This window comes from Homo sapiens, chromosome 17, assembly GCF_000001405.40.
Source record: "Homo sapiens chromosome 17, GRCh38.p14 Primary Assembly".
Classification (NCBI taxonomy): domain Eukaryota; kingdom Metazoa; phylum Chordata; class Mammalia; order Primates; family Hominidae; genus Homo; species Homo sapiens.
In genome coordinates, this window is record NC_000017.11 from 42,797,481 (window position 1) to 42,825,248 (window position 27,768).

Sequence of the window (27,768 nt, forward strand, 5' to 3'; positions counted from 1 at the left end):
CCCTTAAATCAGGTGGAAAGATCTCATGGAAAAAGTAATTCTAGTTAAACATTTACAGCTCCCTGGGGCAATGCCACCACTGCAGCTACTGCTTGTGAAGCTTTCCAGCATGAAGTGCCATATGCTGCCTCTCAGCCTCCATACTCACTTGACTCCAGGAGAATGACTCAGTTTATTATTCTCAATTTGACCCTATGTATCCCACTGTAGGCTCAAACACTGCACAGAGCTGCCACGTCTAACCTCGTAACAACTGCGTCCCTGGAAGGTGAAGGGGGTAAACCACAAAGTCAGAAACTTTGGGAAAAGCCACGGTCGCATGCACACCTCTCAAACAAGGAAACAAACTACAAGAAAGGGCTCAGTCATTGTACACAGCAAGTGTGCAGTGGGCAAAGTTCTGTTCTTTTGACATTGGCCAAATGCGTAAGTCCCTGGTTTCTTGGGCTCAATCACGGTCCAAGGTTAGTAAGAAGGCCAACAATGTTGTGAGCAGGATTCAATTTCTACAGGGTCATGGGGCATCATCCACCATGTGAAGGGGCTCCAGCAGGTTGGACATGATCAATACCCATCCAGATTAGGACCCTGACGCCCTTGCCAGAGCTCGGGCTCGGGCAGCTTTGGCCTCGTCTTCTAGCTCATCTAGGAAACGCTCCTGGGAAATCGAGTAGAAGGTGTAACCATCTGGGGAGGTAGGTTCAGGAAACCACACAGAATATGCACATTCCCCTTTCCTAGATTTGCTCTACCACTCTTGTTACTCTCCCAAATCAGTGATTCCGGCTTCCCGCCGCTGCTGTTTCTAAACCCTGAACCCCAATTCCGTTATTATTAATAAATCAAATTAAAAGAGTACCTTAGGAATAACAAAGGAAAGTACTACCCATTTTACCCCAAAATTAAACGGGTGGTTCAGCCCTCTTGCACACTCTGTTCCCCTGCCCCTATATGCGGTCCCCTTGAGTCTACAACACGGACGGATACAAATAGCCAACACCAGGGCCCCGATGCCTAGGCCGGTCACGATGTTCCGGGTTCGCCGCCGTGGTAGGACCTTCTGCCACTGGGCAAGCTCCGCCTGCCGCATGGAATGCAGTTGCTCGGGTGTCAGCTTCTCCCGAGTCGGGTCGATACGCTGAGCGAACGGGGCCTCTCCACGCTTAGAATCCAGAGGGTCACCAGCTCCCGAAGACGCCATGTTGCCACTCCTCCCTTCGCGGTGCCGCCGCGCGGGCCTCGCTGGGAACAGTAGCCCTTGGCCGCTGCAGTGGACTCTGGGAGTTGTAGTCCGCGTGCCCTTTGCGGGGCAGAGCCGCGGTTCCCGGGCACAGGGGATGGACGCGGGAGGTGAGAAGCGGACGTGCTTTCTGATTGGCTGAGGAGTCCGTGGCCGTTGGGGCGGGAAAAAGCTGTGGAGGGTTCGAGGCTGTGGTGGTAATTGGGTTTTCCTCAGACTTGAGGCGACGACACACTCATTGGAAGGGGACGAGGAATCCAGGGTGTGGCAGAAGACTGGAGAGGAGCTAAGGGGGTCGGTATGTGGATCCAGTGAACCCGTCCAGGTGCCCCAAGAGGCTCGTGAATATGGACGGACCCATGAGGCCACGATCGGCCTCCCTCGTTGACTTTCAGTTTGGAGTTGTCGCCACAGAGACGATTGAAGACGCCCTGCTTCACTTGGCCCAGCAGAATGAGCAAGCAGTGAGGGAGGCTTCGGGGCGGCTGGGCCGCTTCAGGGAGCCCCAGATCGTGGGTGCGGCTGCAGGGCCGGGGTGCTGGGTTCTTGGGAGACTGGGGCTTGTGTCTTTCAGGCACCGACCTTGAGATTCCGTTGATTTTATTCATTCAGAGAATGTTTGCTAACACCTCTCTGTGGGGTGCTGGGGATATAGTGATGGATAAGTCACAACAGTGCCCTCCCCTTGATTTCTTCGACATGTATGGAATACTTGAGTGGCACCGCTTGGCTAGAAAGATGAAATAGAGGGCCAGGCATGGTGGCTTACACCTGTAATCCCAGCACTTTGGGAGGCTGAGGTGGGAGGTTCACCTGAGGTCAGGAGTTCGAGACCAGCCTGACCAACATGGTGAAATCCTGTCTCTACTAAAAGTACAAAAATTAGCCAGGACTGGTGGCGCGCACCTCTAATCCCAGCTACTCGGGAGGTTGAGACAGGAGAACTGTTTGAACCCAGGAGGCGGAAGTTGCAGTGAGCCGAAATCGTGCCATTGCACTTCAGCCTAGACGACAAGAATGAAACTCCGTCTCAAAAAAAAAAAAAAAAAAAAAAAAAAAAAAAGGCTGGGCGCGGTGGCTCACGCCTGTAATCCCAGCATTTTGGGAGGCTGAGGCGGGCAGATCACGAGGTCAGGAGATCGAGACCATCCTGGCTAACATGGTGAAACCCCGTCTCTACTAAAAATACAAAAAAAAGCCGGGTGTGGTGGCGGGCGCCTGTAGTCCCAGCTACTCCGGAGGCTGAGGGAGGAGAATGGCATGAACCCGGGAGGCGGAGCTTGCAGTGAGCTGAGATGGCGCCACTACACTCCAGCCTGAGTGACGGGTGACAGAGCGAGACTCTGTCTAAAAAAAAAAAAAAAAAAAAAGAGAAAAGAAAGATGAAATAGAGATAGAGGTCTTGCCTTCAAACCATGTGCAATTTGGGGGAGATATTAGAACAAATATGCAATGACTAGGTACTATGGTTAGATAAGAGACGTCAGAGAGAAATAAAACAAGCGTTTATGGGGGTTGAGAGGAGCGATGGGGTAATAGGAAGAATTCAGGGGATGGCCCAGGCATCGGGACATTTCAGGCAGACCTTGAAGGAAGGAGGACATTGGGTTGGTGAAGGGGGAGGAAGGAGACAGTGTTTCTACCAAAAAGAGGTAGCATGAGTAAAGCTATGGAAATGGGGTGCTTAGGGTGCATGTGGGTACAGTGTAGTCCATGTTGGCCAGTGCATGTGGAAGAATAGTTGAAATTAATACTGGAAAGGTAGTTTGGAGACATTCCATGTGGAAGTTTGAATGCCAAGGGGAAGAGTTTATCCTTGGTTTGGTAGGAAACCAAGAAGACATTGAAGGTTTTTAAATAAGGGAGTGAAGGTTTTAAAATAAGGGATACGATGGTAACCCTGCCTTAGTAAACATTATTTTGGCAGTGATGTAAAGGAGGTAAAGGATGGATTAAACCAGAGGGAGATGGGATGTAGGCAGACAGGTAGAGTCAATGTCAGTAGGCTAGGTGATAGGGCAGAGGGAATAACAAGGGAGGGTGGATTAAAAACATTCTAGAGGCAAAGTCTAGGGTTCTGCTGTGGATAAATTTAGGAAGTGAAGGAGGAAAACGTGACTATGCTAAACGGTTGAGCCTGGAAGACTGGAAGTATAGTGGTCATTAAAAGAAACACACAGACACGGCCGGGCACGGTGGCTCACGCCTGTATTCCCAACACTTTGAGAGGCTGAGGCGGGTGGATCACGAGGTCAGGGGTTCGAGACCAGCCTGGCCAACATAGTGAAACCCTGTCTCTATTAAAAACACAAAAATTAGCTGGGCATGGTGGCAGGCACCTGTAGTCCCAGCTACTCGGGAGGCCGAGGCAGGGGAATGGCTTGAACCTGGGAGGCGGAGGTTGCAGTGAGCCAAGATTGTGCCACTGCGCTCCAGCCTAGGCCACAGAGCAAGACTCTGTCTCCCAAAAAAAAAAAAAACAACAACAAAAAAAAACAACACAAAAAACACAGACACACTACATAAATAAAGCAGGAGGAAAAGTGACTTTTGTTTGGGAAAGATAATAATGGCTTTGGAGCCTGGCCAACATGGTGAAACCCCATCTCTACTAAAAATACAAAAATTAGCCAGGCATGGTGGCAGGTACCTGTAATCCCAGCTACTTGGGAGGCTGAGGCAGGAGAATGGCTGGAACCCGGGAGGCAGAGGTTGCAGTGAGCCAAGATCACGCCATTGCATTCCAGCCTGGGTAACAGAGTGAGACCTTGTCTCAAAAAAAAAAAAAAAATATATATATATATATATATATATATATATATATATAATATATGTGTGTGTGTGTGTGTGTGTGTGTGTGTGTATAATAGCTTTAGTTTTGGATCTGCTGAGTTTAAGGTGTTTGCAGAACATCTAAAAGAAGTGTTCTTGTAGACTATTCAAAGAGTAGGTTAGAAGAGAGGTCAGAAATGGAGATCAAGGTTTTCAAGTTATCTTCACAATGATATTGTTGAAACTGTGGCAGAGGATAAGCTCCTAGAAGGAGAAAAGAAAAGCAGGTCAAGGACAGTTCCTTGGGAAAACACTTTGTGTTCAGGGAATTGGAGTAAGAAGACTTGTGAAGGAAATAAAAGGAGGAGATAGGAACAGAACCAAGGGACTTTTGGCAGCCAAGAGGAGACTTTGAAAAGGATAATGGTCAGAAGTTTCAGATGCTTTAGGGATATCAACAGAACTAAAGATTGCAAAAAGCCATGATATTTAACAATTTGGACATATTTACTGTCCTCTGAGAATCATTTCAGCAAGTTAGGAAAGGTAGAAGCCAACAGATAGAAAATTAGGAAGTGAACGATGAAGTGGAAGCAGTGGGTGTGTAAGCCAGGCTTTCAAGTAATTCAACAGCGAGGCTGAGATGGGAGGATTGCTTGAGCCCAGGAGTTTGAGACCAGCCTGGGCAACATAGGACAATCCCGTCTATTTATTATTTATTTATTTATTTATTTAAAAAAAAATTCAACAGTGATGGGAAAGAGAGAGGTTAAAAGGGGAGGGTCTTTTAGTTAATAGCAGATCTGAGTATGCTTGTTATCGAGGAGGTGGGGCCAATAGCAAGGGAAAGGTGTAACCCTCATCCATTCCACCTAATCCAAGCTCAGTTTTTTTGGCAAATTAAAATGGAAAACAGAAACAAATGCTCAGATAATTCAGAGCAAAACCAAACCAAAACTTAACAACTGCACACATACACAAAGAACAAAACTAAGAAATAAAGCCTAAAGTCCAGCAAATAAAATGACTAATAAGAGACACAATTATATGTTCTAGGGTATTATGCTGAATTGCTTAAACTAATTCTGTCCTGCATTGGACATTGCTAGCCAAACTGTAGCCTCTGTAACGATGAGGTTTTGTACATCTATCTATGTGTAATGTGTGTTGAGTAGATTGTTACTTGTGTAAGCTTGACTAAATTTTCTAAGAAAGTTAAGTTTTCTCTGAAGACATATGATTATTTGACTAAATGTGTAATTCTCTACGGATCAATGCTAAAAGGTCTTCAGTCTGTAGGAGCTTTCTTTGTTGAGAACTGACATTTACCCTTGTTTCCACCCTCTAATGATATTGCAAGATAAATATAATTCTATCTGGAGCTGTTCTTTCAAAGAGAAACAGAGGCAGGCTAAAATCTTGCCAAGGTATCTCACCCTTCCCACCTTCCCAATGACTCCCTCCCCCTAAATTGGGCTATGTTCTCCAATTTAGGGGATGTTTCTTCAAAACAAGCCACTTCACAGTAACACACTTGCTCCTGGGGAGAGGCTCAGCCACCACAGATTTACCCAGCAAACTGGTGGTGGAGAGATGGTGTCCAGCTGTAAGGTGACTTGTGTTTGTAAAGCAATGGGAGTTCTCCAGAGGGTGGTTACTAAACAAACAGTGTCATAAAGAATATCAAAGCTCCAGGAGGGATCTTTCTGTTCCTGCCAACATTCCACAGAAAACAGAATATAGGAGTTAGGGTTTTTATCCATCCAAGAATCTTCCTTGAAGCTGGGGGTTCCCAGCATGGTGTAGAGGTCACATAGACCAGCTGGTATGTTTGTGTGTAACTGGCCAAGCCTTTTATCAGCTGAAACCCACAGGAAGGCTCAAGGGTCACTGAGGGGGCTTGGTAAGCCCTTGTCTTTGGCACTCAGTCAGCCTCCTTTACATGTCTCTGATCTGCCTATTGGCAGCAAAAGAAACTAAGCTCAGCTTTGGTTGTTTTAGTCTCATCTTTCTCACCTCCTGACCCTCTTCCCTTGGCCCCATCACGGCTTTTACACAATGCCAAGAGTTCACAGAGTGGTTTTGGTTGCATCTTGTGAATTAGGCTCTTTTTTCCTGTTTTGGCAGAGTTTGTTTTTCTCCTGTCTGAACAATGGTGTCTGGAGAAATCTGTGAGCTACCAGGCTGTAGAAATCCTAGAAAGGTAAAGCCCTGGCATAATGCCTTTTGAACGGCACCTCTCAGAGTGGCTAATGTACCTACATCTTTAAGAAAGTATGAGTAGTTGCCCCTTACCCTGAGACCTGGTTTTACACCCTCTCTAACTTGCAAATATAAATTTCTTTGTTGTTATTGTTGTTTTGAGACAGGGTCTTGCTCTGTCACCCAGGCTGGAGTGCCTGGTGGGATCTTGGCTCACTGCAGCCTTGACCTCCTGGGCTCAAGTGATCCTCCCACCTCAGCTTCCTGAGTAGCTGGGACTACAAGCATGTGCCTCCACACTTCGCACTTGGCTATTTTTTTTTTTTTAGAGATGGGCTTTTGCCATGTTGCCCAGGGTGGTCTTGAACTCCTGGGCTCAAGTCATCTGCCTGCCTTGGCCTCCCAAAGTGCTGGGATTACAGGTGTGAGCCACCATGCTCAGCCTCAAATGTAAATTTCTTAACCAGCAAGTTAAACTCCCTTTAGTTTGTGTGAGTGAGGATTGTTTACTCTCCCTCCCTTCCCTACAGGTTTATGGTAAAACAGGCAGAGAACATCTGCAGGCAAGCCACAATCCAGCCAAGAGATAATAAGAGAGAGTCTCAGAATTGGAGGGCTCTGAAACAGCAGCTTGTCAACAAGTTTACTCTCCGTCTTGTGTCATGTGTTCAGCTGGCCAGCAAACTTTCCTTCCGAAACAAAGTAAGGAGCTGGGGTTGCTCATGGGCACCTGAGTGTTAGGAAGAAACCAGCTTTTATACAAAGGGGGGCTGTGATGAGCTTCAAGTCAGTGACAAGAAGAAAATAAATAAATTACAAAGTAAAAACAACGGCCGGGCGCGGTGGCTCATGCCTGTAATCCCAGCACTTTGGGAGGCCGAGGCAGGTGGATCACCTGAGATCAGGAGTTCAAGACCAGCCTTGCCAACATGGTAAAACCCTGTCTCTACTAAAAATACAAAAATTAGCCAGGTGTGGTGGCGCACACCTGTAATTCCAGCTCCTCAGGAGGCTGAGGCAGGAGAATTGCTTGAACCTGGGAGGCGGAGGTTGCAGTGAGCTGAGGTCGTGCCATTGTACTCCAGCCTGGGCGACAGAGCGACTCTGTCTCAAAAAAACTAACAACAAAAAAACAAGGTAGCTGTAAGAAACCTACTCCTAGGTTAGGTGATACAACTCATGGAAATTCCAGAGTGTAATTATGCTTCCTAAGCATACCTTCTACACACACACACGCACACACATGATCTTTCTCCCCCTCTCACTCACACAGAGGCAGTTATTAAATAGCCTGAAGTTCTGTTCCCAAAGTATAATTGGGACAGATGCCATCATTCATACTGGTCACCTTTCCTCCCCCCTTGGACTCAAGGGCAGTTTACATAAGGTGCCTGAATTGCCAGCATACCTATCAACAGTAGAAGCAAACTATTACATTTATAAGGGAAAAAAATGTTTCCACATCACTACCCAATGCCTATACAGTAAAATATCATTCATTCAACAAATACTTTCTGAGTTTATTCTATGGCCAGATGCTGCACCAGGTGCCATGGCTACAACAGTACAAATATTGTCTGTGCTCACAAGGAACCTATTATGTAATGGGAAAAGACACATACAAATAGTGTGGAAAAAAAAGCTCTGATTAATGTAAATACAGAGGGCTATAAATGTACCTCATCAGCCTTGGAGAGTCAAGGAAGTGTATTTAGAGAAAATGACTTCTTGAAATGGGGTGGGTGGGAGATGGGAGGATCCTAAGAGAAGAGGGAGAGGAATTAGGGAGGAAAGGAAGGGAGATCCAGGTATAGAAAACAGCCTGTGTAGTGGCTTGGAGAGGGACAGCATGGTGGGTTTGGGAACTGTAAGCAATTTGGAATGACAAGCAGAGTGTGAGGGGGAATTACCAAGAGACAAGACTGAAGATGAAGGAATAGGCTGGATTATGAAGGGCTTTGTGCACTCTGTCAAGACGTATGAACTTTATCCTAACATTCTTCTTTCCCTCTCTTTTCTTTGCTCAGATAATCAGCAACATTACAGTCTTGAATTTCCTCCAGGCTCTAGGCTATCTACACACTAAAGAAGAACTGCTGGAATCAGAGCTTGATGTTTTGAAGTCCTTGAACTTCCGAATTAATCTGCCCACTCCCCTGGCATATGTGGAGACGCTCCTAGAGGTTTTAGGTATCTTACTGTGTTAGGGAATATGGGTTGGAGACTTCCATAGAAGGCAATACAAAATGTGCATGGGGGGGCATGGCTCATGCCTGTAATCCCAGCACTTTGGGAGGCTGAGGTAGGTGGATCACTTGAGGCCAGGAGTTCAAGACCAGCCTGGGCAACATAGTGAGACCCCATCTCTACTAAAAATACAAAAATTAGCTGGGTGTGGTGGTGGGCACCTGTAATCCCAGCTACTTGGAAGGCTGAGGCACAAGAATTGCTTGAACCTGGAAGGTGTAGGTTGCAGTGAGCCGAGATCATGCCACTGCACTCCAGCCTGAGCAACAGAGCGGACTCCTTCTCAAAAAAAAAAAAAAATGTGCACAGGGGTTTGGGAACAGTGGGCAGAACCTGCCAATGAGGAACAGTAGGAAGCTTGATGGTGTCTCTGGATGACTGAAACAGGTGTTCCCTCCGGCACTTGTCAGGGAAAGCTCAGAGGTCTTAGCAACTGGCTTCTGTTTGGACTCACTAGGCACTCTTATTGCAGGATCAAAGAGGTGACTTTATAGAGAGGCATAAGATAAGAGAGGGACAACTACATGCTAATTGTATGTATACTACAGATGGAGGTTTCTCTACCTCTACCTTTGTCCTTTAAAACTGATCTCCAGCTAAACAGGTTTCTTGTAGTAGAACATAGCAACCAGGAAGCACATTAGCACCTCAACAGCTTTATGTCACAACTGTGGTTATGATCAGAGAAGACATGATCATAAATTCTCCCTATCATTCCCATACTCCATCTAGGATACAATGGCTGTTTGGTTCCAGCCATGAGGCTGCATGCAACCTGCCTGACACTGCTCGACCTGGTCTATCTTCTGCATGAACCCATATATGAGAGCCTGTTGAGGGCTTCAATTGAGAACTCCACTCCCAGTCAGCTGCAAGGGTAAGACAACTCCTATAGGGTAGGCTCCTTCCAGGAACAGGGAAGGGGAGACAGACCACAAGAACTTGGGGAATGGAATTAGCCTAGCATGGCATCCAGTCCCAGATAACCTACTCAGGCTACCTGGTTCTCATTAGTTCCAATATGTTGTTTGGATGCAGGTGACTGAGCCTGGTCAGGAAAACCCTAAAGGCTTTTACTTTTAAATTTAAATTACTTTAATTAATATATTTCCTTTCCTAGTTTTTCCTTTATAGCTGCATAAAACTCAAGGTTACTGGACTGCTTTGGTCAGTCATTTAGAAAAAAAAACAGTCGCCGGCGCGGTGGCTCATGCCTGTAATACCAGCACTTCAGGAGGCTGAGGCGGGCAGATCACGAGGTCAGGAGATCGAGACCATCCTGGCTAACAGCGTGAAACCACGTTTCCACTAAAAATACAAAAAATTAGCCGGGCGTGGTGGCGGGCACCTGTAGTCCCAGCTACTTGGGAGGCTGAGGCAGGAGAATGGCGTGAACCCAGGAGGCGGAGCTTGCAGTGAGCTGAGATGGCGCCACTGCACTCCAGCCTGGGCAACAGAGAGAGACTCCGTCTCAGAAAAAGAAAAAAGAAAAAAAAAACAGTCACAAGGTTGCAACTTGGACAAGAGTGTTTGATTACTGTAAAGTCAGACTGGTTAAAAGCCTCACAGTTACAATTGTTAGGGAAACAGATAGAACTAAAAAAGGCCTATAAACCATTCAAGACATAAGGCTCATGTTAATCCCAGTTAAGTTGGGGGAGAATGGGAGAGCAGGTCAATGAGCTATTACTTGACCATTTCCTTCCATGTCTAAAAAATCCAAGATGATCGACACAAATAATTCATAGTTGAAGTTCCATGACCCTATGATTTGGAAGATCAAGTTCCATTCTAGCTTTAAAATTAATGTGGTTTTAATCACTCAGGGAAAAGTTTACTTCAGTGAAGGAAGACTTCATGCTGTTGGCAGTAGGAATCATTGCAGCAAGTGCTTTCATCCAAAACCATGAGTGTTGGAGCCAGGTATGCACCACTGAGCAGGACCAGCATGGTGAGAATTCATTTAACAGAAAGCATTTCACCCATCAGTTAAAGGAAAACAGAGGACAACCTACAGAAGTGCCAAGACCCAGGATTAGGATGGGTGTGCAAGATTTGAGAGGGAAAAATCTAGGATAGGGCTGAAATGTTTCCTTGTTTTCCTTTTATAAAACTGGAAATGGAGGCCCAAGTTCGGCTTGTTCATTTCCCTTTATAACGATAACCTGCTATTATGTTAAACTCCAGGCTGGGCACGGTGGCTCATGCCTGTAATCCCAGGATTTTGGGAGGCCAAGGCAGGAGAACTGTTTGAGCCCAGGAGTTCAAGACCAGCCTGGTCAACACAGCAAGACCTTGTCTCTACAAAAATTAAAAATTAGTCATGGCTGGGCGCAGTGGCTCACACCTGTAATCCCAGCACTTTAGGAGGCCGAGGTGGGTGGACTGCCTGAGCTCAGGAGTTGGAGACCAGCCTGGGCAACATGGAAAAGACCTGTCTCTACCAAAAATTTTAAAAAATTAGCTGGGTGTGGTGGCACATGCCTGTGGTCCCAGCTACCCAGGAGGCCAAGGTAGAAGGATCCCTTGAGCCTGGGAGGTAGAGGTTGCAGTGAGCCAAGATTTCACCACTGTACTCCAACCTGGGAGACAGAGTGAGACCCCATCTCATTAAAAAAAAAAAAAAAAAAAAAAAATTAGCCGGGCATGGTGGTGCATGTCTGCAGTCCCACAACTATGTGGACTACTTGGCTGAGATGGGAGGATCACTTGAGCCCAGGAGTTGGAGGCTGCAGTGAGCCATGATTGCGCCACTGTACTCTAGCCTGGGCGACAGAGTGAAACCCTGTCTCAAACAAACAAACAAAACAACAACAACAACAAAGGCCAGGCAGGGTTGCTCACGCCTGTAACTCCAGCATTTTGGGAGGCCAAGGCAGGAGGATTGCTTGAGCCCAGGAGTTGGAGACAAGCCTGGGCAACACAGTGAGACCTCATTTCTACAAAAAATAAACAAAAGTAGCTGGACATAGTGGCTTGCGCCTGTAGTCCCAGCTACTCCAGAGGCTGAAGTGGGAGGATCACTTAAGCCCAGGAGGTGGAGGCTGCAGTGAGCCAAAAATCACACCACTGCATTGCAGCCTGGCAGCCTGGGCAACAGAGTGAGACCCTGTTTCAAAACAAAACAAAGTCCAACAATTATATCTTCTCAAATAATGAAAATGTCAAGGCCCAAATATCATTCTTATATTTCACAAAACTTATCTCCAGCAGAGGGAAATGTCTACCAGAAAGTTTCCATGCTAACATTATCAGGGCAAAGGTATCCTAATATAATTTGGCCATTGGCAAACACTGGAATCTGGATTTCAGAAAAATGAATTTACAATTGCCTTGAGAGAACATCCCAAGTAATGTGTGTGTTTGTGCACTAAAATGTGTTGAGATTTTTTAGTAATAAGAAATCTGTCTCTATTTCTGAAGGTTGTGGGGCATTTGCAGAGCATCACTGGTATTGCCTTGGCAAGCATTGCTGAGTTCTCTTATGCAATCCTGACTCACGGAGTGGGAGCCAACACTCCGGGGAGACAGCAGTCTATTCCTCCCCACCTGGCAGCCAGAGCTCTGAAGACTGTTGCTTCCTCTAACACATGAGGGAGGCTGAATCCACCAAATATAAACAGCCATCCGTCACTGCACTCATGCCTCCCTCTGTTTACTTTCATACTAAGGGTACAAAAATTCCAAGTCTCTTTTGAACTGTATTTTGTATGCCAATTTCATGCTTATTTTTCCTTTATCAGAGAGAGTTAAGGTGGACGAGCATGCCCTTTTTGTCATATCAGCCTGAAAATGTTAAAAAGCTAGGTGGAGACAGATTAGTTGTTTCATTTTTGTTTAACAAGGTATTTATACTTTTAGCTTAATTTCATTAAGAGGAACATCAGGCATTGCAATCAGTATTAATCAGGGGCTCAAATACAGACTATCTGGGTGACCTTGACTAAGCATCAAGGAGGTAGCCTTTATTTCCCCTTAAAATTAGTTTAACATCTCTGTTCCATTATTCAGATCTACACAAACAAGGCTTCCTCAACAGCTATCTATTTTTACTAGAGTCTTTTTTTAAAACTAAAACTAACTCTAAAGAAGTTTCAACAGAATTTCCACATACCTGCATTCATTAGAACTTGATTCTCCCAGAATACAAAGTACTCTATTTTAAAGAAAAACCCAACAGTGCACCCCTGGGCAGTTTTCAGACTGCAGCAAATCTTTTATTACAAATAATTAAATCTCTCCATAATGTCTCAAACAGTATCAAACACCATTTCATATCTCTAACACAGAGCAGAGTCGGCATTCAGTATAAGAACCAAGTGAAAAGTGTTAAATTTCAAGCATCTGATCACATCACATGGTGACCAGGTAAAGCTTAGATGTCATTTTCCCACATTATCCAACTGTGCATCTCAAACATATCCTCATCTCAGTAAAGACAAAAGTTTCTATTTCATATTGTTAAGTGCAGGAAGTTGAGAGAGATAAAAATCCAGTGAAAACACATCAATCTCAATTCAACTCAGTTAAAAAAAAGAAAAGCAAATTTAAATTAGTTTTTTTCAGAGAAGAAAGGGAAAGGAGTCCATGGGGTTAAGAATCAAAACTGACCAGGGCTGGCAACTATAGATGGCATGTTGTAGCTCTGGAAAGTATCTGTCACATGATATTTTAAAATAAAGTGGCTTTTGTGGATTTTTTCTTTTTTGGTATTGTAAACATGTACTGTTTAATATTACCCGAATTTAATTTAAAACATGTTTGCAAACAAAACAAAATTAAAAGCCTTTAAGGCAAACCTCCCCCTAAGGAAAAAAGTCATTTGTTATAAAATTGTGAGGACACCCAAGCAAGACCCCACTTAAGATTCGTCAGCATGAACTTGAGAGCTTTTGTCCACTGCTCCTCAGAGTTAAACTGGGTTTTGATGGAATAGGAGCCGCCACTGCCTCCTGTGTCTTCAATCTTGCCTTTCTCCACATCCATCCTGCAGATGGACAGAGCAAAACTCATTAGTAACTGAGATCTGAGTTAAGTAAGTTCGGGGCAGGGACTTGATCATGGGACCATTCACGTCATTTTATCTATTAAAGAACACTTGGTGAGGAATGATAGTGTATTTTGGATTTGCTTGAAAGCCAAAAATCAAGAAGACTGTCACAAGAGCCTCATTGTCATTGCAGAGTACAGGGACAGGACACACACCCAAAGAGAAGAGAAGCCTGGAGTAGGGGTGAGTGAGGGTTACAGTACTTCTTGCTGTTTTCCTAGGCATCCCTGAACTTGGCGGGGGAGAAAGGAGGCAGAAGAAAAGAAATGCTTTGTTTTGGGGTGATAGAAGCAGCCTTACTCTAAGTAAAAACTAGAGTTTCCATCCATCAATGGGATCCTAGAAAAATCAAAAGAAGCATTCCTGTGTATTTCCAAGGGCTTCAGGGAAAAACCTTCTTGAAACTGGAGAGGAGGCTTGAGCTCTATGCCAAGAAAACCCCCTAAACCATCTAAGGCAACATTCTTCTACTCCAAGGACTAGGTGGTCACATTCTGTCCTGCTTGCAGTACTGGGTCAGTCTCTGCCCATCAATGTCATGTGATTCTGTGCCATTTTTTTGCTTTCCCACCATTTATACTGTTTTGCCTCCATTATTACTGCTGCTTCAATTCTGTTCAATTTGGTCCTATACAAGTTCACTCAGCATTGCGCTATACTGACCTGTAGGGAAGACAAAAACGTGTCTCGCCTTTCTCAACCTCTTCTTTGAACTGCTGCACACAGTCCAGGAAAGCCACCATTGCATGGTCAAACTTGTTGTCCCAGAAAAACCGCAACCCCCCAGAACAGTATAACGGCAGCTCCTGCCCAAGAAGAGAAAACTGGCTATGGATCTGGCACCAAGAAAGGCTTCCAGAGATTGTTCCCAATCCTATCAATCTCTCAAGTCATGTTCTGTCTGTATCCCACTGGAAACTTGTATTGTAGCTGGACTCTATCTTCCATAGATTTGAACAACTACAATAAGCTTGGGCAAGTAACAATGCACTTAGAACTGTTTCACTATCAATGAAAATGTACCATAGGTTGAGCATCCTTAATCCAAAAATCCAAATTGCTACAAAACCTTTCCAGGAAGAGTACATGGGAAAAGAAAAATAAATAAATAGACCAGGAGCAGTGGCTCACGCCTGTAATCCCAGCACTTTGGGAGGCCAAGGTGGGCAGATCACCTGAGGTTGGGAGTTTGAGACTAGCCTGACCAACATGGAGAAACCCCGTCTCTACTAAAAATACCTAATTAGCCGGGCGTGGTGGTGCATGCCTGTAATCCCAGATACTCAGGAGGCTGAGGCAGGGGAATTGCTTGAACCCGGGAGGCGGAGGTTGCAGTAAGCCGAGATCATGCCATTGCACTTCAGCCTGGGCAACAAGAGCGAAACTCCATTTCAAAAAAAAAAAAAACCCACAAAAAGAAAAGAAAAAAAAATAAAAATATGCCAGGCACAGTGGCTCACGTCTGTAATCCCAGCACTTTGGGAGGCCAAGGCGGGTGGATCATGAGGTCAGGAGATCAAGACCATCATGGATAACATGGTGAAACCCCGTCACTACCAAAAATACAAAAAATTAGCCAGGCATTGTGGTGGGCGCCTGTAATCCCAGCTACTCGGGAGGAGAGGAGGCTGAGGCAGGAGAACTGCGTGAACCTGGGAGGCAGAGCCTGCAATGAGCCGAGATCACGCCACTGCACTCCAGCCTGGGTGACAGAGTGAGACTCCGTCTCAAAATAAATAAATAAATAAAAATAATAAAAAATGCTACAAAACCTGAAACTTTTTGACCATTGATATGATGCCACAAGGGGAAAATTCCATACCTGATACCTTTGCTTTTTTTTTTTTTTTTTTTTTTTTTTGAGACAGAGGCTTGCTTTGTCGCCCAGGCTGGAGTGCAGTGGCGCAATCTCGGCTTACTGTAAGCTCTGCCTCCCAGGTTCACGCCATTCTCCTGCCACTGCCTCCCGAGTAGCTGGGACCACAGGCACCTGCCACCACGCCCAGCTGATTTTTTTTTTTTTTTTGTATTTTTAGTAGAGACGGGGTTTCACTGTGTTAGCCAGGATGGTCTCAATCTCCTGACCTTGTGATCCACCCGCCTTGGCCTCCCAAAGTGCTGGGATTACAGGCGTGAGCCACTGCACCCGGCCCTTTGCTTTCTGATGATTCAATGTATACAAGCTTTGTTTCATGCACAAAATTATTTAAAATATTGTATGAAATTACCTCAGACTACATGTATCAGGTATATATAAAACAGGCCAGGCACGGTGGCTCATGCCTGTAATCCTAGAACTTTGGGAGGCTGAGGCGGGTGGATCACCTGAGGTCAGGAGTTCGAGACCAGCCTGGTCCAACATGGTAAAACCCCATCTCTACTAAAAATACAAAAATTAGCTGGGCCTGGTGGTGGGCACCTGTAATCCCAGCTACTCCAGAGGCTGAGGCAGGAGACTCACTTGAACCTGGGAGGCGGAGGTTGCAGTGAGCCGAGATCGTGCCACTGCACTCCAGTCTGGGCAACAGAGCAAGACTCTGTCTCAGAAGAAGAAACATAAATGAATTTTGTGTTTAGACTTGGGTCCCATTCCCAAGATATCTTAGTATCTATATGCCAATATCCCAAAATCTGAAAAAAAAAATCCAAAATCTAAAACACTTCTGGTGATACTCAACCTGTAAACATCTATCTCACGGTGATTCTTTTCCTAGCCTAGTGCACACACCCTCTTCTGACCTGCCCATATCCCTTCTCAACAGACTGTCAAAACCTGATTTCTGTCTACAAGACCCCCAAAACTAAACCTGAACTAGACAAGATATTGAACAATATACTGGCTCTTCATATCTAGGTCTAAAAAATAAATTGAATGCCAATATCAAAGCAAACCATCCATTTTCTTAAGAGATATAAGAACTCTGTATTCCAGTGAAAATGGAGCTTCACAGAGTACCTTAGATTTGTCTGTCAGAGACTCCAGATATGAATGGTTTCCGTAAGGAACAAGTCGGTATCTAAAATAGAGATACAAACAGAGATGGATACAGGACTCCTCCCAAAGTGATTATTGGGAAGTTACAACCCAATGATTTCACTCTTCATTCTGGCCAAGGGCTTCTTTTATTATGCTCAACTCCCTCTCCCACCTCCCCATTGAATCCATGTTTAAAAGATTTTGTTTAATGAACAAACTACATTTATTATATAATTGCCTGGGGGCCTTCCATGAACAAATGTTATGTTTTGGTTTAAATTTAAGAAACAAAAACTGAAAATATCCTGAGGAACACTAAGGCTCTGGGGACTGTAGGCTGGGAACTATGCTATAGTCACGCAACTCAGTGACTGTGTGATCAGTGGAGAGAGCCCTGTGATGAGGGGAAAATCAGATGCTGACAGCTCTTCAGCCACAGAAAACTCCCAGTCTGTGGGCAGCAAGGGCTCCTGACATGGTGGACAGCAGTACCAGGTTGGAGATACAAATTATATCAATGCACATCACTCCCCAAGAAAGGGCTACACTTCCTACCTCTGAAATTTCAGACCCATCTTATTGGCCAGAGCATGGAGCAGCAACACAGTCTGGCCCCAAGCAGCATTAATCTCATTCCATTCCACGGGAACACTGGGCAGGCGACCCAGCCTGAAGTTATTGATTGTGCCAAACTGTCCACTGTGCCTACAGAGGAAGGCAGAAAGGTGGGGGGAAATACAGGGATTACTTAAAAAGTTTGACATTTCCCACTCTCACCCCAAACCTAGCTTAAATCTATCTTCAAGTCCATATATGCAAGCTGTACTTGGCACTTTAAATACATGTCCAAAACTTGAGTCATCATCTTTTTCCCTGCTGCTCAGATGCCAAAGCAGAAACCTGGGTGGTATCCTTGAATGCTCCCTCAGCTCCTTCCGTGCAAAACTGCCAACCTCTCCTGATTCTACCTGCTAAATATCTTGGATCTTTCCACTTTTCTCCAAATTCAATGCTACTATTCTTTTCCTTTAGATTCCTACTGATGAGTATCCTTTCCAACGATTCCACCCCTTTACCCCAAGTCATTCCCCATGGTGCAGGAAAAGCCATCATTCACGAATACAAGTGTAATTACGTCACTTCCCTAGCTAAAATGCTTCAGTGTCTCCTCTGCCTTTTGGATGAAGTCCAAACCTCTTAACGAGGCCTACGAGATCCTTCAGGAACTGGTAACTCTCCAGTTTCATATCCGGCCACTCTCCCCTTTACACTCAATCTTCAGTCACAATAAGCTCCTTTCTGTTCTCTGAATTCACCACTCCCTCTTTCCCATTTCTTTGCACATAATGTTCTCTCTGCTAGGAACAACCCCCTCTCTGCAGACTTCTACTTTACCTCTCAGTTTAAACGTAAGTCCCCTATGGGGAAACTCTCCATATGGCCTCCCCAAACTGGATCAAGTGCCCTTATGTGTTCCCACAGCACCCTGGGTTTACCATCATCACACTGCATTACAACTGCTTGTTATTTATCCATCTCTTCCACCAGATTATATGCAACTAGAAGGTTGACTGCATACTGTTTTGCTGTTGCCCTCCTAGCACTCAGCACAGTGCCTTTTCCAGAGTAGACACTCAACAGTTATTAAATTAATGGAACATCAAACACCGTGGGGATAAGAAATCAGCACCAGACAGCTTACCAGGTTTTTAAGTGGCTGAAGGGCTCAGGCCTTTTCCTTTCTTTAGAAGGGCGGATGTCACCAAGCTCTAGAATTCCAATCCCTACTGTGCCTATCCCATCACTATGAATGAAAGAAACCTAGTTGGGTGAAGATAACCTACAGTCCCTCTTTTGTGGGAAGTGGGCACCCAGGCTTAGTGGTCAACAGCTAAGGTCTAGATATGTGCAGTGCTCCTCATCCCCTAGCTCTCATTACCAGATGTGGAAGGTTGCATTAAAGACGTTGGTTTTCTTCAGCTTATCCAGCTGCGTCTGGGCATAACGCATCTGGTTTTCAACACTCTTCAGCTCATCATCCAGCTCCAGCTGCTGTCGTTTAAATTCACTGTATTCTCTCTGATACCTGTGAGCAGCCAAGGGGGCCATTGAAGGCTGTTAGCTTGGGGGCTAAAGTTTCTCTCTCACCACACTATGAACGATTCTTTAGTGATCATCGTTACATCTAGCTCTCGCATCTTTTATATTTGGCATAGATCCCATTCTGAGGAACATGTATGTCCTAGCTGTTTTGCCTGGAAGGAACAGAAATGTCTCAAATTCCAGCTGCCCATATGCAAAAAGGTGGAGGAAAAAAGAATTCTCCCAAACCAGGGCAAAAAACCTCTTATTTCTGATCTTTTTCAGAAGTGAGGTGAATGGGTTAGGAGTGGCTTCTTGGGGCCAGGCGTGGTGGCTCACACCTGTAATCCCAGCACTTTGGGAGGCCAAGACGGGTGGATAACTTGAGGTCAGGAGTTCGAGAGCAGTCCGGCCAATGTGGTGAAACCCTGTCTCTACTAAAAATACAAAAATTAGCCAGGCGTGGTGGTGCACACCTGTAGTCCCAGCTACTTGGGAGGCTGAAGTGGCAGAATTGCTTCAACCCAGGAGGCAGAGGTTGCAGTGAGCTATCACACCACTGTACTCCAGACTGGGCAACAGAGCCGAGACTCTGTCTCAAAAAAAAAAAAAAAAAAGAGTGGCTTCTGCTTCTTCTGGGCCGGGTGCAGTGGCTCACACCTGTAATCCCAGCACTTTGGGAGGCTGAGGTGGGCAGATCACCTGAGGTCAGGAGTTAGATGCCAGCCTGGCCAACATGGTGAAATTCCGTCTCTACTAAAAAAATAAAATTAGCCAGGCGTGGTGGCGCACGCCTGTAGTCCCAGCTACTTGGGAGGCTGAGGTAGGAGAATCGCTTGAACCTGGGAGGTGGAGGTTGCAGACAACTGAGATCATGCCACTGCACTCCAGCCTAGGCAACAGAGTGAGACTCTGTCTCAAAAAAAAACCAAAATCAAAAACAAAAAACAGTGGCTTTTTCCAGCTGGCCATGGTGGCTTATGCCTGTAAACCCAGCACTTTGGGAGGCTGAGGCAGGTGGATCACTTGAGCTCAAGAGTTCAAGACCAGCCTGGGCAACATGGGGAAACTCCATCTCTATAAAAAATACAAAAATTAGCCAGGTATGGTGTTGCGCGCCTGTAGTTCCAGCTACTTGGGAGGCTGAGGCGGGAGGATTGCTTAGGTGTAGGAAGTCAAGGCCGCAGTGAGTCATGACTGCACCACTGCACTCCAGCCTGGATGACAGAGTAAGACTCTGTTTCTAAAAAAAAAAAAAACAAAAAAACAGTGGCTTCTTCCATGAACTGGCCATAATTGGCCTTCTAAAGCTTCATTTCTATACACTTACTGTCCTTTAAATAGTTACTATACCCCACTTCCAGTGAAACTTGTTATACTACTGTGTGAAAAAAATGGACTTTTCTCTATCCTTCATTTCCACAACTTCAGTTAGTATGGACACTGTGTGTCCTCCACTAGAGAGAGGGTTCTCTCAGGTCAAGGACATCTATAATGTTTTTATTTTTTGAGACAGGGTCTCAACTCTGTTGCCCAAGCTGGAGTGCAGAGGTGTGATCACAGCACACTGTAACCTCAAACTCCTGGGCTCAAGTTATCCTCCACTTCAGCCTCCTAAGTAGTTGCTAGGACTACAGGTCTACCACAGCAGCCTAATTTTTTTTTAATTTTCATTTTTGTAGAGATGGGGTCTCACTTGATATTGCCCCAGATGGCCTTAAATCCTGGCTTTAAGTGATCCTTCTGCCTTGGCCTCCCAAAGTGCTGGAATTACAGATATGAACGACCATACCTGGCCCCCATGAAATGTTTAAGCTTGGAGGGAACAAATGTAGGCTAATTAGCTCATCTTTTCAGCTAAGGATGGCTAGAAAGTGGCTGATTCATCCAAATGAGCCCATTCCCTACAGGACAGAGCCAAGACTGGAGCTCTGGTTTCTGCACTATTTAACCAACATACTTTTTTCACTTAATCATGCTGACTCTTCATAGGTAACTCTCCCAACAAACCTCTAGAAAAAGGGCATGGAAGCAATATGCAGGATCTGGGGCAGGCATGCTGCTGACTGACAGCTGACTAGTTTACAAACTATTCAGACACATTCAGCTGGAAGCCATTTCCTCTCCTGGAGCCTCGAGTGTGAGAAGATAGAACAGGGTGAGCACTCACTGAGCTTCCTCCTGATCCAGTCTCTCAGCCTCAGCCTGGACCTTCTCGAGATTTTCTGCCACTATCTTGCGGTTCTTTTCCACGTCTTCCAGCTCCTGGATCAGCCTCTCCTCCTCTAGTGCCAGCTCCTTTAGCTCCATCTGTAACTGTTCACTGTCATCCTCATTCATTTGCTCTAAGATCTCCAAACAGCGTCTGCCAAAGACACAGGCAGACTATACTTACTAGAGCTCCATTTGCCTGAGTGGAGTACGGCTCTTGGGTAAGGGCCAAGCAGTCTCAGAGCAGTAACAGCTCTGAGCCCTGGCTCTGGAGACACTCACTTGTAGTTCTGACACTCATTTTCAGTGACGTTGAGCTGAGTGTCCAGCTGGTCTAAAAGAGTATCTGTGCATTCCTCACAGAGTGGGTGATCCACATCTGTCTGGCCCGACATGATGTCAAAAAGGTCCCCAGTGACCTGGAAGTGTGGGAGAGTCAGGGTAGGGCCTCCCCCATGCTTCCTGCTCAATTACCCACTCTCCCAGCCAGGCCTACTGCTTGCCACCGGAATGGGGCCGACTTGCCTTCAGTCTTCGGCTGAGGTTCTCCATGGTGCCGCCATCAGATGCCTCCCCAATCAGAGTGAAGCTGTTGGCACTTTCTGTGGACATCATCCTGCAGACAGCCCCCCGCCCACGGGCCACATGAGGGAACAGAGAGGCTTCCTCCACCTACTACAATGCCAGTGGCAGAGACTCTCAAGCACCAGCTGAGGGGCCTCAAGGAACATACCCACTCCTAGCCCGACTGACCTCCCAAGGGTACCTCTCTCCCAAAGGAAGGCCATGCTGGTCTTCCACAGGGACACTCAGCATGAAGGTTGGCCTTGGTGGACTAAGGAGGGAGAGGGAGCATAAAAAATTCATATGTCTACAGTGGAAAAGAAGGGAGAACCAGGAAAGGCCATTTTAGAAAATATTATACCCCTTGCCAGCAAGCTCTTTACCTGCAGCAATGAGAACTAAGGACCTGAACATCTAACAACATTTGCTAGTTTGAAACTTCTCAAGAGCCCATCTCTTGGTGATTGGTCAATCACTCCCTCAATTTTTTTCAATACTTCATCATTAAAGCTACTATCCTTTCCCACTCTGTGAACAGCTACAGGAAAAAATCCATACTGGAAGGTGACGGGCCAGGTATAAGGGAATACATCTTTTCTGAAAGGGCCAAAAGGCTAGGTGATGATGCATCTCTATCACCTGGCTCCAGGTCTCGATTCCTGGATTTAATTAAAATTCTACTAGCCTTTGGCAAGGAATGGGGGCTGAGAAGTAGTAGGCACCTGGCTGGGGGGATGAATCTGCGAGAGACACCATCCTGGCGAGGAGTTTCAATAAATGGCTCCTGGGAAAGAAATAAGAGGGCATTACAACTCTGGCAGCTTAGAGGTAGAGTTCATCTCCCAAACAGCCTCAGAACTATATGGCTTTAGTCTTGATAACCACAAGACTTGATAAACCACAGAGACTTAAAAAATGGGTATTATCGAAGCAATCCTTGTGTATGTGGACTAAGAAAGGACCCACGATACAGACAAACCTTAAGTCCCATTTGATTTTTTTTTTGTGGGGAACAGCATTTCCTAACTATGTTACACTCTATGTATGGTTAAATTTGCATTTCTCAACACTTAGCAGTCAGGGGCAGAGGACAGAATGCCCTAAATCATAGTACAAGGAAAAAGCCAGATCAGACTGCAATGAAGTCTGCCACAGTACAAAGTAGAAAATTTATATGTTTTCAGTATTTTGAGATTACTCATATGTGACCAAAATCTCACAGCATCTATTGACTTCAAATGCCAGACCCCTTTGCCTCCTTGCTTAAAGGCTTCTCTGGCTCCTGGACTCTTCACTGCCTGCAGGGGGCGCTGGCCAGAATTAATGACCTCCACTAAACCTGACATCAGCACTCCCCCAGTGACTGGCAGCTGTGGGTAAATAAATACTCCAGCTCCCTTGCTACTTGAGAAGAAATCTCAGGTGTGTATTCAATAGTATCTCACAGGATGTTGCTCCACAGGATCCCTGATATTATCACAGCTTAAAATGACATGTTCTCTAACACTGACAATTCTTTCTGTCCAGGGCAATCATACAATTCACTGTCCTAACCAGGATGCTTTTGAGAATGGAAAGGAGTGGATATTAACAACTAGCTAGAACAACAGATGCAAATCAATGCTCTAGAACGACCTGGACACACAGGTCATCCCATCTCCAACCTACAATAATTTATAATTCTGCTTCAAATAAAGAGCCCTTTCCAACATTTTAAAATGACTAATTCAGTAACCCTGTGACCTCAGGTGCAGATCTGTACCTCCAATGGTGCATAGCAGCCTGATCATGTAGAATGTCTCATTACCCAGAGATCCCAAAAGTCCGGGAGCTCTAGAAGCGCCAAGTAGCCTGCAGAAACCAAGCCTGCATTCCTGTTTTCATATCATATCTCTCATTTGGAATGTTTACTACATGAGGAGGATAGGGGAGAGGGCACTTCTATTACCTCTCCTGAGTTAGTCTCTTCCTCCTGGGTCTCTCCTGGTTTCGCCTGGGCTGTGGTAAGTAATGGAGCTAAGGGCAAGGAAAATATTGGGTCAGAAACAGTCTTATTAAAGCAGGAGGGCATCTGAAAGTATGGGAAAAGAATGTGAAATATTCTCATCACCACCCTCACCTCCAATTTTTCTTAAAGTACCATTTACACCAAAAGAATCTGTGGTCTTCCTCACCCCCATTAAATCAGATTAAAGAAATGTTCAATTTTTTAAGGCATAATGGTATCATTATTATTATTATTATTATTACTTTAAGATGGAGTCTTGCTCTGTCGCCAGGCTGGGGTGCAGTGGCACGATCTCGGCTCACTGCAATCTCTGCCTCCCGGGTTCGAGTGATTCCCCTGCTTCAGTCTCCCAAGTAGCTGGGACTACAGGCGTGCACCACCATGCCCAGCTAATTTTTTTGTATTTTAGTAGAGACAGGGTTTCACCATGTTGGCCAGGTCTTGATCTCCTGACCTCGTGATCCACCCGTCTCAGCTACCCAAAGTGCTGGGATTACAGGCTGAGTCACCGCGCCCGGCCGGTATCATTTATCTTTAAGAATCCTTATCTGTCAAAAATACAGAAATATTTACAGTATTTATGTTTGGGATTTGCTTCAAAACAATTCAGAGTGGGAAGGAATGGATGGGGCTGTAGACAAAACTTGATTAAATATGTGTTGATAATTGTTGCAACTAGGTGATGGGTACACAGGAGTTCATGATATACTCTGAAATTTTCCATCACAAAAGCAAACATCCTGTTTCCCCCAGAATAGCAAGGAGGGAACATAAGGAAACTTTCTAGGAAGATGAAACATTGCTAAATTGCAACGATCCAGATTACATCAGTGTATCCATTTGTCAAAAATGTACAGCTAAGATTCATACATTTCAAGTCATGACAATTTACCTTTCTAAAAAGGTGTGAAAAACATAATAATTGAGCAGAGGATGGGAGGTGAATGGAGGTGTAGACAACATAAGAATGTGAGAATATGGCTGATTATTGAAGCTGGATGATGAATACAAGGCAGGCTATGCTATTCTCTTGACTATATATGTCTCAAATTTTCCATAATAAAAAGTCAAAAATTGTTATTAAAAGAGTTTAAGAGGCGCGGTGGCTCACGCCTGTAGTCCCAGCACTTTGGGAGGCTGAGGCGGGCAGATCACAAGGTCAAGAGATCGAGACCATCCTGGCCAACATAGTGAAACCGTCTCTACTAAAAATACAAAAATTAGCTGGGCGTGGCGGTGTGTGCCTGCAGTCCCAGCTACTCAGGAGGCTGACGCAGGACAATCACTTGAACCCGGGAGGCAGAGGTTGCAGTGAGCCGAGATCGCGCCACTGCACTCCAGCCTGGCAACAGAGTGAGACTCCGTCTCAAACAAACAAACAAAAAAAAGAGCTAATTTCCCCTCAAGAAAGAGAAACCAGGTAATAATAGCAGCTAATACTTATTGAATACTATTTGCCCAGCAAATTCCTAAGTGTTTCTGTGGTTTGTCATATTTGAACTTTATAAATTCTTTATGAGGCAGTTTAACGTTTTACAGAAAAAATCAGAAACCAAGGCTTGGAGAAATGAAGTAACTTGCAAAAAGTTGTTCAGCTAGTAAATGACAGCCAGGATTTAAACCCAAGCAGGCTGACTCCAGGCCCATAAGCTTATTTAAGCTGCCTATTCAGTCTTCTCTTTTACTGTCTGACTTAATCTGAATTCTTCTGACTTTGCGGGATTTTGGGGTTTTTTATTTTTTTTAATTATAGAGACAGGGTCTTACTGTGTTGCCCAGGCTGGTCTCAAACTCCTGCTCAAGTGATCCACCTGCCTCAGCCTCCCATAGTGCTGGGATCACAGGTGTGAACCACCACTCCTGGCCTTTTTAATTAATTTATTTTTTGAGACAGGGTCTTGCACTGTTGCCCAAGCTGCAGTGCAGTGGCATGATCATAGCTTCCTGCAGCTTTGACCTCCTGGGCTCAAGTGATCCTCCTGCCTCAGCCTCCACCACCCACCACACCCAGCAATTTTTTTTTTTTTTTAGAGACAAGATCTCTGCTAGGTTGCTCAGGTTGGTCTTGAACTCCTGGGCTCAAGCGATCCTCCCACCTCAGCCTCCCAAAGCACTGAGATTACAGGCGTGAGCCATCACATCCAGCAAATTCTTCAGACTTTAAGACTCTACTCCATTTACCAGCTGTTGGACCTTAGGTAAGTCACTTAACCTCTCTGTGCCTCGGTTCTTCATCTGAAAAATGATGTAATGACGGTATACCCCGTACGGGTTGTTACAGGGACTAAATGAAGTAATACGTGTAATGCACTTGGTATTACTATATAGTAAGTCCTCAAAAAATACCATTTATTATTATATATACATATTCCTTTTCTCTGAAACAGCAGGAGCAGAAAATAAGGATCTTTCTTTTGCTACTGAAAGCTCTCTTTTTTTGAGACGGAGCCTCGCTCTGTTGCCCAGGCTGGAGTGCAGTGGTGCGATCTCAGCTCACTGCAAACTCCACCTCACCGGTTCAAGCGATTCTCCTGCCTCAACCTCCCGAGTAGCTGGGACTACAGGCACGTGCCATCACGCCCGGCTAATTTTTGTATTTTTAGTAGAGAGGGGTTTCGCCATGTTGGCCAGGCTGGTCTCGAACTCCTGACCTCAGGTGATCTGCCCGCCTCGGTCTCCCAAAATGCTGGGATTACAGGCGTGAGCCACCGCGCCCGGTCGGAAAGCTCTCAGAAGTCCACAATGTCAGAATGCTTTATGTTTCCAAGGAGAAAACAGGGAGCCAGATGAAGTGACTTTCCTAGGTTCACACGATGAGTTTGTGGCAGACTACACAGCCACCATAAGAATTATATCACCAAAGCTGCCCACCTTCCACATTCTTGACCACCCTCTTTCCAAGGGTCTCGCTGACCTGTGAGTTCCTGGATGGTGACACGGTCCAGGATCTTGAAACTCGTGTCCAGTTTCAGGGGCTGGCTGCAGCGCTGGCACACGAAGCTCACCTGCATGGTGCTGTTGTTGGACGTCTTAGACCCTTCCATCCCTGAGGCCGTGGAAAAGAGGCAACATTAGGGAGAAGCGACGCCCTTGACCTCCGGCCCGGGGTTACCACATGCCTTGGTGACGATGGTAAAGGGAGGGAAGTCCCAACCTGCGCCGTTCCCTCTAGGAATGGTATGATACGGGGAGGACCTGCTTCCGGGACAGCCTGAGCAAAGGCAGTTTAGAGCCCAGGGTCAGGGAAGGGACTCCAATAAGAGCCGTGAGGGTTCCCAGACTCCCTTCTAAGGTCCCACCTCAGCCCCCGATGCTCTTCACCTCGGGAGCCCGGAGCCCGTCACCCAAGTCCGGTCTACCGCGGAGGCACTGTGGCCTCGGGTCGGCCCCGGAGCGAGGCCTCCAGAACTACCATCGCTCTGTCTTCAGCGACTTCCCGGTAGCCGCCGGAAAACTTCCGCCCGAGACCGGACGTGACGCTACGACGGCAGCAGGAGCTCCTGGTCCACAGGCTCACAGGCCCGGCAGCGGCCCCCAGAGGCCGGGCTGGGAAAAGCAGCGGGCTTCAGCGGATGAACAAGGTTACCACGGGAAGTGTAGGAGCCAAGGCCGCAGAGAATGGGGAGGCTCCGCTATTCTCTAAATTCAGGGGGCGGCGGGCGCGGTGGCTCACGCCTGTAATCTCAGCACTTGGGGAGGCCGAGGAGGGCGGATCACGTGAGGTCAGGAGTTCGAGACCAGCCTGGCCAACACAGTGAAACCCCGTCTCTACTAAAAATACAAAAACTAGCCGGGCGTGGTGGGGCACGCCTATAATCCCAGCTTAATCCCAGCTACTCGGGAGGCTGAGGCAGGAGAATCGCTTGAACCTGGGAGGTGGAGGTTGCAGTGAGCCGAGATCGGGCCACTGCACTCCAGCCTGGGCGACAGGGCAAGGCTCCATCTCAGAACAACAACAGCAACAACAAAAGGCCGGGCATGGTGGCTCACGCTTGTAATTCCAGCACTTTGGGAGGCCGAGGCGGGCGGATCACAAGGTCAGGAGTTCGAGACCAGCCTGGCCAAAATGGTTAAATCCCGTCTCTACTAAAAAATACAATTAGCTGGGCATGGTGGCGTGCGCCTGTAATCCCAGCTACTCAGGAGGCTGGGGTAGGAAAATCGCTTGACCCCCGGAGGCGGAGGTTGCAGTGAGTCGAGATCATGCCACTGCACTCCAGCCTGGGCGACAGAAGGAAACTCCATCTCAAACCCCCCCCCCCCACACACACACACAAAACCAACAAAAAAAGAAAGTGATATTCAAATAAAAGCTTGAAGAAGGTGAGGAAGGAATTCTTACCTGCATCTTAAGGAAGAGCATTCTAGGCCAAGGGAACAGCAAGAGCACAGAGGGTACCTGTTTGGGGATTAGC

The 27,768-nt window shown here is 46.1% G+C and overlaps 3 protein-coding genes and 1 non-coding gene across 14 annotated transcripts, besides 9 other annotated features; 1 reads left to right on the plus strand and 3 right to left on the minus strand.

Annotated features, from left to right (window-relative positions):
* Positions 145-1,224, minus strand: COA3 (cytochrome c oxidase assembly factor 3). Its single transcript, NM_001040431.3, has 2 exons — positions 988-1,224; positions 145-687 (listed from the first exon to the last, which is right to left on the minus strand). The coding sequence occupies exons 1-2, from the start codon at positions 1,199-1,201 to the stop codon at positions 581-583; spliced, it is 321 nt and encodes a 106-aa protein (NP_001035521.1). The 5' UTR covers positions 1,202-1,224; the 3' UTR covers positions 145-580.
* Positions 907-976: an enhancer, noted in NCBI's record as "active region_12223". NCBI's record gives its function as "activates an Ori minimal core promoter by ATAC-STARR-seq in GM12878 lymphoblastoid cells {active_cell/tissue: GM12878}" and the evidence as "EXISTENCE:reporter gene assay evidence [ECO:0000049][PMID:35858748]".
* Positions 1,117-1,166: an enhancer, noted in NCBI's record as "active region_12224". NCBI's record gives its function as "activates an Ori minimal core promoter by ATAC-STARR-seq in GM12878 lymphoblastoid cells {active_cell/tissue: GM12878}" and the evidence as "EXISTENCE:reporter gene assay evidence [ECO:0000049][PMID:35858748]".
* Positions 1,187-1,236: an enhancer, noted in NCBI's record as "active region_12225". NCBI's record gives its function as "activates an Ori minimal core promoter by ATAC-STARR-seq in GM12878 lymphoblastoid cells {active_cell/tissue: GM12878}" and the evidence as "EXISTENCE:reporter gene assay evidence [ECO:0000049][PMID:35858748]".
* On the plus strand, positions 1,305-14,107 carry CNTD1 (cyclin N-terminal domain containing 1). Of its 4 annotated transcripts, none has more exons than XM_024450569.2 (7): positions 1,305-1,350; positions 6,140-6,215; positions 6,745-6,916; positions 8,242-8,404; positions 9,194-9,338; positions 10,288-10,412; positions 11,885-14,107. In XM_024450569.2, the coding sequence occupies exons 1-7, from the start codon at positions 1,338-1,340 to the stop codon at positions 11,935-11,937; spliced, it is 747 nt and encodes a 248-aa protein (XP_024306337.1). In that variant the 5' UTR covers positions 1,305-1,337; the 3' UTR covers positions 11,938-14,107. The 4 variants fall into 4 exon arrangements, with proteins under 4 accessions (XP_024306337.1, XP_011522613.1, NP_775749.2 ...); NM_173478.3 differs by lacking the exon at positions 1,305-1,350 and adding an exon at positions 1,381-1,756 and having other exon boundaries at positions 10,288-10,384; NM_001330222.2 differs by lacking the exon at positions 1,305-1,350 and adding an exon at positions 1,381-1,538 and having other exon boundaries at positions 10,288-10,384.
* On the minus strand, positions 12,652-26,802 carry BECN1 (beclin 1). 8 transcript variants are annotated; one of them, NM_001313998.2, is made up of 12 exons: positions 26,675-26,802; positions 26,268-26,399; positions 23,294-23,361; positions 22,068-22,129; positions 21,307-21,397; positions 21,064-21,200; positions 20,741-20,935; positions 18,428-18,574; positions 17,044-17,193; positions 16,468-16,528; positions 14,175-14,317; positions 12,654-13,448 (listed from the first exon to the last, which is right to left on the minus strand). In NM_001313998.2, the coding sequence occupies exons 2-12, from the start codon at positions 26,395-26,397 to the stop codon at positions 13,280-13,282; spliced, it is 1,353 nt and encodes a 450-aa protein (NP_001300927.1). In that variant the 5' UTR covers positions 26,398-26,399; positions 26,675-26,802; the 3' UTR covers positions 12,654-13,279. The 8 variants fall into 8 exon arrangements, with proteins under 8 accessions (XP_005257817.1, XP_016880753.1, XP_005257816.1 ...); NM_003766.5 differs by having other exon boundaries at positions 26,653-26,802; XM_005257760.5 differs by lacking the exon at positions 14,175-14,317 and having other exon boundaries at positions 12,652-13,448.
* Positions 20,300-21,499: an enhancer, noted in NCBI's record as "CDK7 strongly-dependent group 2 enhancer chr17:40969798-40970997 (GRCh37/hg19 assembly coordinates)". NCBI's record gives its function as "activates an origin of replication core promoter dependent on BRD2, BRD4, P300/CBP, MED14 and CDK7 cofactors, with strong dependence on CDK7, by STARR-seq in HCT116 cells {active_cell/tissue: HCT116}" and the evidence as "EXISTENCE:reporter gene assay evidence [ECO:0000049][PMID:35650434]".
* Positions 22,570-22,619: a silencer, noted in NCBI's record as "silent region_8548". NCBI's record gives its function as "represses an Ori minimal core promoter by ATAC-STARR-seq in GM12878 lymphoblastoid cells {active_cell/tissue: GM12878}" and the evidence as "EXISTENCE:reporter gene assay evidence [ECO:0000049][PMID:35858748]".
* Positions 26,029-26,595: an enhancer, noted in NCBI's record as "H3K27ac-H3K4me1 hESC enhancer chr17:40975527-40976093 (GRCh37/hg19 assembly coordinates)". NCBI's record gives its function as "activates a minimal SCP1, AML or CMV promoter by ChIP-STARR-seq in naive H9 embryonic stem cells {active_cell/tissue: H9 hESC(naive)}" and the evidence as "EXISTENCE:reporter gene assay evidence [ECO:0000049][PMID:30033119]".
* Positions 26,400-26,463, minus strand: MIR6781 (microRNA 6781). Its single transcript, NR_106839.1, has one exon. It is a non-coding gene; the product is annotated as a microRNA 6781 (primary transcript).
* Positions 26,596-27,164: an enhancer, noted in NCBI's record as "H3K27ac-H3K4me1 hESC enhancer chr17:40976094-40976661 (GRCh37/hg19 assembly coordinates)". NCBI's record gives its function as "activates a minimal SCP1, AML or CMV promoter by ChIP-STARR-seq in naive H9 embryonic stem cells {active_cell/tissue: H9 hESC(naive)}" and the evidence as "EXISTENCE:reporter gene assay evidence [ECO:0000049][PMID:30033119]".
* Positions 27,031-27,160: an enhancer, noted in NCBI's record as "active region_12226". NCBI's record gives its function as "activates an Ori minimal core promoter by ATAC-STARR-seq in GM12878 lymphoblastoid cells {active_cell/tissue: GM12878}" and the evidence as "EXISTENCE:reporter gene assay evidence [ECO:0000049][PMID:35858748]".
* Positions 27,165-27,731: an enhancer, noted in NCBI's record as "H3K4me1 hESC enhancer chr17:40976662-40977228 (GRCh37/hg19 assembly coordinates)". NCBI's record gives its function as "activates a minimal SCP1, AML or CMV promoter by ChIP-STARR-seq in naive H9 embryonic stem cells {active_cell/tissue: H9 hESC(naive)}" and the evidence as "EXISTENCE:reporter gene assay evidence [ECO:0000049][PMID:30033119]".

Excerpts from the sequence above, each read along its gene's own strand:
- COA3 (NM_001040431.3), bottom strand. The coding sequence starts at position 1,201 with ATGGCGTCTTCGGGAGCTGGTGACCCTCTGGATTCTAAGCGTGGAGAG. Across the intron at positions 688-987 it reads GGCCCTGGTGTTGGCTATTT|ATGGTTACACCTTCTACTCG; the intron begins GTATCCGTCCGT and ends CTACCTCCCCAG.
- BECN1 (NM_001313998.2), bottom strand. The coding sequence starts at position 26,397 with ATGGAAGGGTCTAAGACGTCCAACAACAGCACCATGCAGGTGAGCTTC. Across the intron at positions 21,398-22,067 it reads AGATTCATCCCCCCAGCCAG|GATGATGTCCACAGAAAGTG; the intron begins GTGCCTACTACT and ends GGCTGTCTGCAG. Across the intron at positions 13,449-14,174 it reads CGTTTTTGTCTTCCCTACAG|GATGGATGTGGAGAAAGGCA; the intron begins GTCAGTATAGCG and ends GTCCATCTGCAG.
- CNTD1 (NM_173478.3), top strand. The coding sequence starts at position 1,588 with ATGGACGGACCCATGAGGCCACGATCGGCCTCCCTCGTTGACTTTCAG. Across the intron at positions 6,917-8,241 it reads AACTTTCCTTCCGAAACAAA|ATAATCAGCAACATTACAGT; the intron begins GTAAGGAGCTGG and ends TTCTTTGCTCAG. Across the intron at positions 8,405-9,193 it reads GACGCTCCTAGAGGTTTTAG|GATACAATGGCTGTTTGGTT; the intron begins GTATCTTACTGT and ends TACTCCATCTAG.